Raw genomic sequence first — 13,501 nt, forward strand, 5'->3', positions numbered from 1 at the left:
TCAATCCTAACATAATGACACCAAGCAACTCATGAGGGATCTGCCCCCCTGACCCAAACACCTCCAACTAGGCCCCACCTCCCACATTAGGGATGAAATTTCAACATGATATTTGGAGGGAACTAATATCCAAACTATGTCATAGAGGTATGTGTGTAACCTCATTCATTTATGCATTCATTCAACAAAATATGTAGTGAGCACCTGCTATGTGCCAGGCACTGTGCTAGGCTGTAGATATGACTCATAAATAAGATGAATATTGCCACAGTCCTTAGGAGCCTAGTGTAGTTGGGGAGTAAATAAGCAAACAGATAATTTCTATACCTGGTAATTACTACCTTGATAGGGCAAAGAGGATTCTGTTTGTGCTGTATAAGCACATGAAAAGTACAAAGTCAATCCTTGGGAGGTCATGGAATCTTTCCTAGGAAATGATATATAAGGTGGATAAAAAGGTAACCAGATACAGATGAGAAGAGAAGGTGGGCCAGAAATTTTGAAATACTGAACCAACTGGATGTCATTCACTGACATAGGGTAATAGTATAGATGACTGGATTGGAAAATGAAAAAGGAACTAAAAGTAATTAAATGAGCTGCAGACATGAAAATGAACACTTGGGAAGTCCTGGCAGGAAGTCATCAATAAGACAACATAATGAAGTGGAAAGTGGTTGGGAGTAAGGCTGACTTGGATTCAAACCCTAGTTTCACCACTTAATAGACGTGTTACGTTGAACAAATCCTTTAACTTTTCAGAGCCTCAATTTTCCTCTTTGTAAAATACAGATAATAACATGGACACTATAAGGGTTTTGTTGTTGTTGTTGTTGTTGTGAGACGGAGTCTTGCTCTGTTGCCCAGGCTGGAGTGCAGTGCCTCGATCTTGGCTCACTGCAACCTCTGCCTCCTGGGTTCAAGCGATTCTCCTGCCTCAGCCTCCAGAGTAGCTGGGACTACAGGCGCACGCCACCATGCCTGGCTAATTTTTGTATTTTTTGTAGAGACGGGGTTTCACCATATTGGCCAGGCTGGTCTCGAACTCCTGATCTCAGATGATCCGCCTGCCTTGGCCTCCCAAAGTGCTGGGATTACAGGCGTGAGCCACCGCACCTGGCCCAGACACTGTAAGTTTTGGGGAGGATTAAATGGGATCATCCATGTAAATGCGCCTATCCCAGTCTCTAGCACACACTGAACACTCAAAAATGGGAGGTTTTGGTATTTCAGAAGAAAATCAGGTGTCGGGGAGTGTTAGTAGTAACCTTGAACTATATGCAAAGACTAAAGCTAGGAAGATAGGAAGAGTTTTACAAGATCCTTTTGGCTATATAGTTAAAGTTATTAGCAGTTAGAGTTTCCCTTACAGTTGACAAGTGAACCATACAAGTGAATGACTTGTGGTTCCTCAGATAAAAGCACGAGTCAGAGTTGTAATTTCTGTTTTGTGGACGTAATTGTTGACCAAGTGCACTGAAGGTAGGGATGGCCAGTAGCAAAATTATAAAGCAGGCCTGTTTGTCTTCAAACACTCCTGAGTAAACTTGTCATTTCCTTGTAAAAATGCAAAATAGACTACTGAGTAGAGGTGATCAATTACAGAAATGCACTTACTTTGGCTTTCTTCTGAAACCTAATAAAATGACAGTAAAGGGATTATTTTTTTAAGGCAGAAACCCACAATGATGATGAAATTAGAAAGGAAGACAAGAACAACAAGGTTGTGGAATTCAGAAGCCATATAGACAAGAGGTAACACACCTGAGAAAGATGATCCCTAAATTTGTCTTGGAGAAAACTCAGAAGTACCTGACTACATCATAGACCTCCCAAACAGCTTCCAAATGTCAGATACCACTGAAAATGGGGATAAAGGTAGGGTCAAAAATAGGAGGATTGGGTTATAAGTCTGTATAAGAAGTTGTTAGATCCCTACATCCTCTCTTCAAACCTGTATAGCCAGATAATGGTCCCTCTCCCAGCCTGGCAGAGGCTAGATAAGGTAAATAGAGAAACTTACTTCCTGGAGAACATTTGGCACATTTGGGGATGGAGTTCAGTAATATAAATGAAGGGGTAGTGAAAATTTATCGGAACATTTATAACCTAACAGAACCCCATGTCTTTTACCCCATTCTAATTCCAGACCACTAGAGATTAGAAAATTATTCTCTGGGGTATCTGACCACTTCCAGAGGAAAGACATAAAGATGCTGATGTCGAGAATGACCCAACTAAATGGCCCAGCCAGATGACCCAGTTGAAGCTGGTGGACAAGAAGTTTCATTCATGGAATCAGAACTTCCAATAAGGTCTTTTAGTACCTCACTCCTAAATTTGAATAGACTACCAAAGATTATCAGACATCTAAGGGGAACTACCAGCATGAAAGGTAGAGACCAAAGCAAACAAACAAACAAAGAAAATAATTTGGAACTAACCAAGACTATGCTGGGAGAAGAAAACTATTATTAATATCCACAGAGCGTAGTACAGCCACTATGGAGAACAGTATGGAGGTTCCTCTAAAGACTAAAAATAGAACCATCATATAATTCAACAATCCCACTGCTAGATATATACCCCAAAGAAAGGAAATCAGTATATTGAAAAGATATCTGCACTCTCATGTTTACTGTAGCGCTATTCATAATAGCCAAGATTTGGAAGCAACTTAAGTGTCCATCAACAGATGAATAGATTTTTTTAAAATGTGGTACATATACACAATGGAGTACTATTCAGCCATAAAAAAGAATGAGAAATGTCATTTGCAACAACATGGTTGGAACTGGAGGACCTTATGTTAAGTGAAATAAGCCAGGCCCAAAAAAGCAAATTTCACATGTTCTCACTCATTTGTGGGACCCAAAAATGAAAACAGTTGAACTCAGGGAGATAGAGTAGGATGATGGTTACCAGAGGCTGGAAGGGTAGTTGTGGTGGGAGGTGGGTGGTTAATGAGTACAAAAATATAGTTAGATAGAATGAATAAATCTAATAGTTGCTAGCACAACAGGGTGACTACAGTCAACAATAATTTACCGTACATTTAAAATAACTAAAAGAGTATAATTGGCATGTTAGTTACACAAAAAAAGGATAAATGCTTGAGGCAACGGATATACCATTTACCTGGATTTGGTTATCACACATTGTATACTTGCATTAAAATACCTGCCGGGCACATGGCTCATGCCTGTAATCCCAGCACTTTGGGAGGCTGAGGTGGGCAGATCACCTGAGGTCGGGAGTTTGAGACCAGCCTGACTAACATGGAGAAACCCGTCTCTACTAAAAATACAAAGTTAGCTGGGCATGGTGGCTCATTCCTGTAATCCAAGCTACTTGGGAGGCTGAGGCAGGAGAATCACTTGAACCTGGGAGGCGGAGGTTGCAGTGAGCCGAGACCACACCATTGCACTCCAGCCTGGGCAACAAGAGCAAAACTCCGTCTCAAAAAAAAAAAAAAAAATCTTATGTTCCCCATAAATATAAATACCTATTATGTACCAATAAAAGTAAAAAGTAAAAAGTTTCAATTGATTCACAACTTTAAAAAATATCCACAGAGGTGTAAGAGGAGATATTGTATTGCACCCACGAACCAGTCTTATGCTATTTCAGAAAGGGACATTCAAGAAACAAAAAGGGAGCTCTGGGAAATTTGAACAATAAATAATAGTAGAATAAAAAATTCAGAGAAAGTTTGGATGATAAATTTGAGCCAATCTCCCAGTAAGCAAAGCAAAAATATAGAAAATGAGAGTTAGAAAAGAAAAAGAAAAAAATTAAAGGACTAAAATAAGAAGTCCAACATCTAAATAAGAGGAGATCCACAAAGAGCAACAGAGATAAGAGAAGAAAGGAAATAATCAATAAAATAATTCAAGAAAATCCAAGGACATGAATTCTCAGATTGTAAGAGACTACTTGAGTGAAAAAAAAAAAAAAAAGAATGGAGTTAGACCCATCCCAAGGCACATTATTTGTGCGATTTTAAAATACCGATATATTAGTTTGCTAGAGCTGCAGTAACAAAACACCACAGACTGGGTGGCTTGAACAGCAGAAATTTGTTTTCTCATGGTTCTGGATGCTAGAAGTCTAAGATCGAGGTGACAGCAGTTTCGTTTTTTCCTGATGCTTCTCTCCTTAGCTCACAGATGGCTGCCTTCTAGTTGTGTCCTCATACTGTCTTCCCTTGGTCAGTGTTGTCTGTGTCCTCGTCTCCTCTTCTTAAAGGGACACCAGTCATATTAGGTTAAGAATTGCCCATTAGACCTCATTTTACCTTAATTACCTCTTTAAAGGCCCCACGTCTAAATACAGTCATATTCTAAACTACTGGGGGTTAGGGCTTCACTGAGTGAATTTTGGTGGAAAGTGGGGCAGGGGACACAATTCAGCCTACAAAAACTGGAAACAAAGTGAAAATCCTATGTGTTTCTGTGCTCAGAAGACAGGAAGTAGTCATACCCAAGAGTCAATAATTAAACTGGTTTCTCACCAGCAATTTGGGAGACTGGAAGTCGGAAGACACAGAGCAGTGCCTACCACATTCAAAAGAGAAAAGAGGCCGGGCATGGTGGCTCACGCCTGTAATCCCAGCACTTTAGGAGGCGAGGAGGATGGATCACCAGGTCAGGTGTTCAAGACCAGCCTGACCAACATGGTGAAATGCTGTCTCTACTAAAAATACAAAAATTAGCTGGGCATAGTGGAACACGCCTGTAATCCCAGCACTTTGGGAGGCCACAGAGGGCAGATCACCAGGTCAGGAGTTTGAGACCAGCCTGACCAACAAGGTGAAACCCCATCTCTACTAAAAATACAAAAATTAGCCAGGCGTGGTGGCGCATGCCTGTAATCCCAGCTACTCAGAAGGCTGAGACAGAAGAATCACTTGAACCCAGGAGGTGGAGGTTGCAGAGAGCCGAGATCATGCCACTGCACTCCATCCTGGGTGACAGAATGAGACTCCGTCTCAAAAAAAAAAAAAAAAAGAGAGAGAGAAAAGAATTCCAACCCAGAATTCTCAACTTCACTGTGTCAGAACATATGAAGTAAACAAATATTCATCTCTACATTTGCCAGTCCCTGTGGACTTAGACCAGATAGTATAAATAATAGTCACAAAAGGAGTATGAATGGGATAAGAAGCCACTTCTAGTCTGAGACAATTAAGAGTAGTAGTGCCTTCTCTGCACTCTCACCGCCTCATTCTGACAGCTGAAGTGAAGGACTCCCAACTTCTGGAACTGCCCAATGAAAGTAGCCTTGTGTGAGTGTTAGCTGGCCTGCTTTGGTCTGGGATGCAAGTAGAAATAAACTCCTCTCATATTAAGCCACTAAGACTTTAGGGATATGTTGCTGTAGCATAGCCTAATGTAGCCTGATTACTGAACGAGCCACCCCATCAACTGAATCTATGTATATACTAAAAACATTTTAAGATACGCAAGGTCTCAAAGAGTTCACTCGATGCACACTTTTTCTCAGGAAGCTACTAGAGGATGTGCTCCACAAAAAATAAAGGTATAAATTGTGAAAGAGGAAAACATAGGATTTAGGAATCAAGGGAATTCAGCACAAGACAGAAGAAAAGGGAATCTGCAGCAAGATCCCTGAGCTGTGCATGTAACATAAAGGGCAACAATTTCCAACACAGAGCAGATCACAAGACCCTAGGATAGATTTCTTGAAGAAAATGAAATTAAAAGAATACTGGATTCATCTGAACATACGAAAAGGAGATTTAAGCAACTTTTTAAGAGCTTGGGAATGAATTAATGATAAATATATGGTATTATGCAACCAAAACTACAATAAAAACTCATTAAAAATTATAACTCATAAAATTATTAATTTCAGGGAAAATAAAAAGTTGAGTAGGAATGAAAAAAGAATCAGAGGATACTATAAAGCTCATCTGTGGATATTGTTTACATAGTCATGATAATGAAAAAGAAATAATCTAACCAAAATTAAACGTTGGAAGTGTGGGGAGATAGAAATGGTAGTGTATTCGCTATTTATGTGTTGGGGAGGATACCTGTAACTTTAACATTAGTGAGCTTTACTTTACTAAGGCTAAATAAACAAACTCAAGTGTCCAGAAAGGCTAGAGAAGGAGCTTACAAGAATGAAGCTATTGTGGTGTGATTCAATAGGGAATAGGTGGGGCCTTGGCAACATCAATTTGTAGTATCCCTGCCAATTGATACTACAACATCAATTTGTAGTATCCCTGCCAAAATTTAACTATGGAAAATAGTTAAATTTTAATATGCACACATCTGTGGTTGTGGTTATACAGATATATATATATATATATATATATATATATAATAAAAATTTATATATAAATAAATACATAAACAAACTCAAGTGTCCAACAGGGCTAGATAAGGAGCTTACAAAAATGAAGCAGTTGTGATGTGATTCAATAGGGAATAGGTGGGGCCTTGGCAAACCAAAGAACATATTCTATCTAAAGTGGATGGCCACAACTTGCTCCAGCTGTGGAAACTTGGGCCATGTACTGCTAGATCTAAGGATTTTCTTTTGAGAGATGCTAGATATATACATTTTTTAAAAATAAAATTATCCTGATTTTAACAACATTGCCTTATTATATAAAACATACCTTGGAGGGTGTGGGTAAGACACAATGTCCTTGAAATTATATTTCACTGGGTTAATAAAATTGGCTCCGGAAGAAAATAATTTTAAACAGCAAACCAAAAAGTGAAGGCCTTCAAAACTAACAAACCAAAGGAAAACAAAACAAAATGACAACAAGAAAAAAACAAAGAAACAAAACCCCTGGACCTTACCATTTTTCTAAGGCATGTTGACATGATAAAATCAAAATTGCTTTGTGCTTATAAGGATCAAAGGTTATGCTTTTGACTTTATAAATTCAGAGAAAGAATTTAATTGGAATTATTTTTATGAATTAACTGAAGATCTAAGGCAACTGGATAATTTAGGTTCTGCTAGTATCTAGAATATTCAAAGTTTATGTTTAGTCTGACACTAAAGAATCCATTATTTCTCTTGACTTCCAGGCTGGTCAGTGTCTTTCCTGTGTCATATACCAAACAATGTGTTAGAAATTGTCTTCTCACTCATAAACTAATATTTGTTCAGAGTAAAAAGTCAAGCAAGTAAATAATGAGAAAAAATTCAGTGTATTGTATAAACAAAGACAGAAGGCAGACCAATGGTTACCTGGGGCCTAAGCTAAAGAGATTAATTGTACACAGTCACAAAGGAATTTTTTGGGATGGTGAAAGTGTTCTAAAACTGGATTGGGATGATTGTGGCACAACTGTATAAATGTTATTAAAACTCATTGAGTTGTACACTTAAATGAGTGGCTAAGTTGTGCTTTAATAAAGCTGTAATTTTGAAAAAGAATAATGGATGATCAACTGTGAGCTAGAGTATGATGAAAACACAAGACATTTACATAGCTTCAAAGTATCTCCCCATCAGGTACTTATTAACTGCATCAGGGAAACAGTAATTTTCTTGTGGCAGAACCCTGCTGACAAAGTTAACATTCTAGTAAAAGCACAGGTGGATGTCATGTGCCTCCTGAAGTGATGCACAGAGAAGGATGCAACATCAACTTGTAGTATTCCTGCCAAAAATATATAACCTGAATTTAACCATGCTGAAACATAAGACAAATCCAAGTGAAGGAACATTCTACAAAACAACTGACCAGTACTCCTCAAGAGTGTCAAGGTCCTGGAAGACAAAGACTGAGCAATGCTTCTGATTAAAGTAGACTGAGAGGTGACAACTGAATGCAATGTGGGATTCTGGATTAGGTCTTGGCCCAGAAACAGGTCTTCGGTGGGACAACTGGCAAAATGTGAATAAGGTCTCTGGTTTTGTGAATGGTAGTGTATCGACGCTCATTACCTGCTTTTGATCATGGTAGTGATAGTAAGATATCAACATTCAGGAAAGTACAGTGAAGGGTATATGGGAATCTCTACTATTTTTGTAACTTTTGTAAGTTGAAATTGTTTCAAAATGAGTTAGAAAATTAAAAGGAAGTTTTCTCTTTCAGCTGGGAAAACAGCAATGGATTAATAACAAGAAATTAATGGTGAAGTGGTGACGAAAATTCTACATTGCTTAGAAAGCAAGTAAGAAAATCAGTGGTTGTAGAGAAGTTCTTACATGAAGTAATAAAAATAAAAATTGTTATGTTAAGCATTTTCTATTTTCTTTTCCTCCCCTCCAAATGAAACAGCATACTATTCTGCATGTTTTTCTACCTAACAATGTATCTTTTTAATGACTCTTGTATTTTAAACCTAAAATTTTGATTAAGCTTCACTTAATATTAAAAAAGATAGTATAGGTCACGATGTTATTTGATGCAAACGTTGGAAAGACAGAATCTTCTTGATCCAAGAGCTTTTAGAATTCAAAGTCTGATTCTGGTTATTACTCTGCTCATTTAAGATAGTGAAATGAACATTTACATTCTGGCAACCTCAGAAGTACAATGAACAAAGGACACCAGCCAGGTAGGGCAAAGGCCTGTGCACCCCCTTTTGCTGTTACATGTTTATCAGATGCGTGCTCTGTTTCTGTTATATTACATTACTTTTCTCTTCAATGTTTACTGAGGAAGAACAAGTAGCTCCTCAGGCAAATCAACTGTTAACTTTGCAGTTTTTATTTAATCTCCCAGGAATGTAACCCTTAACTTTAAAGAATGTAGTGACCATAAAACTTATAAAGCATGTTTCTTAAGGAAATTGTACCTGTTTATTTAATCTATCAGATATGAATGTTATAGAAAATTAAATTTGTCCACTTAAGCTGTAGATGAACTTTTCACCTTTCTGATCAGAAATTCACCATCTTATAGTATAGGTTCTGTTATTAATCAGAATATTTCATTTAGACTCTTTCTATCCAACTTTTTCTTAGAGGCTATTCAAAATAAAGGTGCTTCTAACAGTTTCATATCGAAATACGATGCAAAGCCTTGCTCTTCCATGGTATCCTTTGAGTGAGCCAAACTTATTTAGCCATTCCCCTATAGTTAAATAGCTAGGATGTTTCCAACATCTCACCTTTAAAACAATAGTGCTATGAATGTCATAAATGTTTGTATATGTAAATATGTGGGATAAATCCCTATCAGTAGAATTTCAAAAGGTATACGCAATCAGTATTTTCATACATATTTAAAATTTTCCATCCATACAAAGGTTGCTAACATATTTATTTAAAATTTTAAAAATAATTTTATATGCCTCTTGTAACCAGTAATAGGATGCCAAGTTTTTTTTTAAGGTAACATTGCTCCTCTTCCCCCATTGTCTCTGTCATCTATAGTACTCCCTGAGGTAGTTCATGTTATTGCAAGGGTGTGTATCATCACAAACATATTGCTTCCACATACATATATCAGCATACATATATATATATATATATGTATAGCATATATATATATGAGCACATATTAATATATGCCCATGCACATACAAGCATGTTTTTGTTAATTTTTACTGAAATGGAATCATACTACATACTTATGAACAAATTGCTTCTTTCACCTTATATCACTTATAATTGTTATTCTACAAATCAGTACATATAAAAAATACATATTTACATATGTAATACTCTATCTTTCTGTTATAATTTTCTGCATGCACATGTATGCATATACATATATTCATAAACATAAAACTTAATCTAAACGGGATTTTTTTTTGGGGGGGTGATATGGTTTGGCTGTGTCCCCACCCAAATCTCATCTTGAATTCCCATGTGTTGTGGGGGGACCCGGTGGGAGGTAATTGAATTATGGGGGCAGGTCTTTCCTGTGCTGTTCTTGGGATAGTGAAAAAGTCTCACAAGATCTGATGGTTTTAAAAAGGTGAGTTTCCCTGCATAATCTCTCTTCTCCTGTCTGGTTCCATGTGAGATGTGCCTTTTGCCTTCCGCCATGATTGTGAGGCCTCCCCAGCCATGCGGACCCGTAAGTCCAATAAACCTCTTTCTTTTGCAAATTGCCCAGTCTCAGGTATGTCTTTATCAGCAGCATAAAAATGAAACAATACAGTAAATTGGTACAAGTAGAGTGGGGCGCTGCTGAAAAGATACCTGAAAATGTGGAAGAAACTTTGGAACTGGGCAACAAGCAGAGGTTGGAACAGTTTTGAGGGCTCAGAAGACAGGAATATGTGGGAAAGTTTGGAGCTTCCTAGAGACCTGTTGAATGACTTTGCCCAAAATGCTGATAGTGATATGGACAATAAAGTCCAGGCTGAGGTGGTCTTAGATGGAAACAAGAAACTTGTTGGGAACTGGAGCAATGGTGACTCTTCTTATGTTTTAGTAAAGATACTAGGGGCATTTTGCCCCTGCCATAGATATATGTGAAACTTTTAACTTGAGAGAGATGATTTAGGGTACCTGGCAGAAGAAATTTCTAAGCAGCAAAGCATTCAAGAGGTGACTTGGCTGCTGTTAAAGGTATTCAGTTTTATAAGGGAAGCAGAGCACAAAAGTTTGGAAAATTTGCAGCTTGACAATGTGCTAGAAAAGAAAATCCCATTTTCTAAGGAGAAATTCAAGCTGGCTGCAGAAATTTGCATAAGTAACAAGGAGCTGAATGTTAATCCCCAAGACAATGGGGAAAGTGTCTCCAGGGCATGTCAGAGTTCTTCATGGCAACCCCTCCCATCACAGGCCCAGAGGTTTAGGAGGAAAAAGTGGTTTTGTGGGCTAGGCCCAGGGTCCCTCTGCTGTATGCAGTCTAGGGACTTCATACCCTGCATCCCAGCCATGAATGAAAGGAGCCAAAGTACAGCTCTGTCTGTTGCTTCAGAGGGTGCAAGCCCCAAGCCTTGGCAGCTTCCACATGGCTTTGAGCCTGCGGGTGCACAGAAGTCAAGAATTGAGGTTTGGGAAACTCCTCCTAGATATCAGAAGATGTAGAAGTTTGCTGTAGGGGTGGGTCCCTCATGGAGAACCTCTGCTAGGGCAGTGTGAAAGGGAAATGTGAGATTGGAGCCCCCAAACAGAGTACCTACTGGGGCACCATCTAGTGGAGCAGTGAGAAGAGGGCCACTGTTCTTTAGACCCTGGAATGGTAGATCCATGGACGGCTTGCACTGTGCACCTAGAAAAGCCACAGACACTCAATGCCAGCCTGTGAAAGCAACCTGGAGAGAGGCTGTACCCTGCAAAACCTCAGGGGCAGAGCTGCCCAAGACCATAGGAACCAACCCCTTGCATCAGCATGACCTGGATGTGAGACATGGAGGCAAAGGAGATCATTTTGGAGCTTTAAGATTTGACTGTCCCACTGGATTTCAGACTTTCATGGGGCCTGTATCCCCTTTGTTTTGGCCAATTTCTCCCATTTGGGATGGCTGTATTTACTAATGCTGTACCTCCATTATATCTAGGAAGTAACTAACTCGCTTTTGATTTTACAGGCCCATAGGTGGAAGGGACTTGCCTTGTCTCGGATGAGACTTTGGACTTTGGACTGTGGACTTTTGAGTTAACACTGAAATGAATTAATGCTGAAATGAATTAAGACTTTGGGAGACGGTTGAGAAGCCATGACTCATTTTAAAATGTGAGAACATGAGATTTGGGAGGGGCTGGGGTGGAATGGTATGGTTTGGCTGTGTCCCCACCCAAATCTCATCTTGGATTCCCATGTATTGTGGGAGGGACCCGGTGGGAGGTAACTGAATCATGGGGGCAGGCCTTTCTCATGCTGTTTTTGTGATAGTGAACAAGTCTCATGAGATCTGATGGTTTTGAAAAGGGGAGTTTCCCTGCACAAGCTCTCTTCTCTTGTCTGCTTCCAGGTGAGACATGCCTTTCACCTTCTGCCATGATTGTGAGGCCTCTCCAGCCATGTGGAACTGTAAGTCCAATAAACCTCTTTCTTTTGCAAATTGCCCAGCAATGTGAAAACAGACTAATACAGTGGGAGATTACTTCTCCATACCCTCTTTGTCTGCCAACCATATCACCTCTGCTGTTTCCTCTCCCCAAAAGGTAACCCATGTTAACCTCTGATTATGATCAAATAATTATATGTATTTATTTATATAAATACCATTTCTTTATATATTTTGAACATATTAATGCATACACAAGTGTGCTAAAATTTATATTTCTACTGCTGTCACCATCTGTAGCTTGTATGATTTACAGAATTTCATGAACAAAAATACATGAAGTAAAAGGAACCATTATGATGTAAAAGCATATAGATTAATAATATTCTGCTTACTAAAAGTTTCTTTTTTCTTTTTTTTTCCTTTGGAGATGGAGTTTCTCTGTTATTGCCCAGGCTGGAATGCAATGGCATGATCTTGGCTCACTGCAACCTCCATCTCCTAGGTTCAAGCGATTCTCCTGCCTCAGCCTCCCGAGTAGCTGGGATTACAGGAGTGTGCTATCACACTCGGCAGATTTTTGTATTATTAGTAGGGACACGGTTGCACCATGTCGGTCAGGCTGTTCTCAAACTCCTGACCTCAGGTGATCCACCTGTCTTGGTCTCCCAAAGTGCTGGGATTACAGATGTGAGCCACCGTACCCGGCCTACCAGTGGTATTACCCAGGGATATGAATAGCTAAGCTATACTTTAGGCACAAACCAGCACTATTATCAAGATGCAATATGTGAACTCATCTTTCTTCTAGCATCAGTTCAGAATTAATTTTAATCTGTGTATTGTATACTGCTGCCAAAAACTCATTAACCACAATTAAATTATGAAAGTACATGTGTAAATTTATGGATAGCAATACACAATCCAAAATATGAGTTTGCTATAAAAATAAAGCATATGGGTAGAATCATATTAATTATAAGTAACCAGAACTGTTAATAAGAAATTAATATTAAAATATATTGAATTTGATATTTCCATAACTGAAGTAAACTAATTTAATAAGCGAAGCTAACCAGTCTAAAATATCAAAGGAGAATAAGAATAAAGTTTATTATTAAACATACAAGCTAATCAACTTACTTTCTTATATTTCTTGATAATATGTTGAATTTACTTTCGAGCATGTTTTGAAGAGGTAGTTAGTCAATCTTTATGTCCCTTTTGAAGATATGATGAAATAGTTACATCTCTATTATGGAATAACATGAAGTGGTTTAAAAAATGAGTGATGTATGGTCTGGCATGGTGGCTCACACCTGTAATCCCAGCACTTTGGGAGGCCGAGGCAGGTGGATTATCTGATGTCAGGAGTTCAAGACCAGCCTGGCCAATGTGGTGAAACCCCATCTGTACTAAAAATACAAAAATTAGCCAGGCGTTGTGGCGGGTGCCTGTAATCCCAGCTACTTGGGAGGCTGAGGCAAGAGAATTGCCTGAACCTTGGAGGCAGAGGTTGCAGTGAGCCAAGACTGCACCATTGTACTCCAGCCTGGACACCATGAGCAAAACTTCGTCTCAAAAAAAAA

The 13,501-nt window shown here is 38.8% G+C and overlaps 1 annotated feature.

Moving 5' to 3' along the window:
* Positions 2,012–2,513: an enhancer, noted in NCBI's record as "OCT4-NANOG hESC enhancer chr9:70837488-70837989 (GRCh37/hg19 assembly coordinates)". NCBI's record gives its function as "activates a minimal SCP1, AML or CMV promoter by ChIP-STARR-seq in naive and primed H9 embryonic stem cells {active_cell/tissue: H9 hESC(naive and primed)}" and the evidence as "EXISTENCE:reporter gene assay evidence [ECO:0000049][PMID:30033119]".

This window comes from Homo sapiens, chromosome 9, assembly GCF_000001405.40.
Source record: "Homo sapiens chromosome 9, GRCh38.p14 Primary Assembly".
Taxonomy (NCBI): domain Eukaryota; kingdom Metazoa; phylum Chordata; class Mammalia; order Primates; family Hominidae; genus Homo; species Homo sapiens.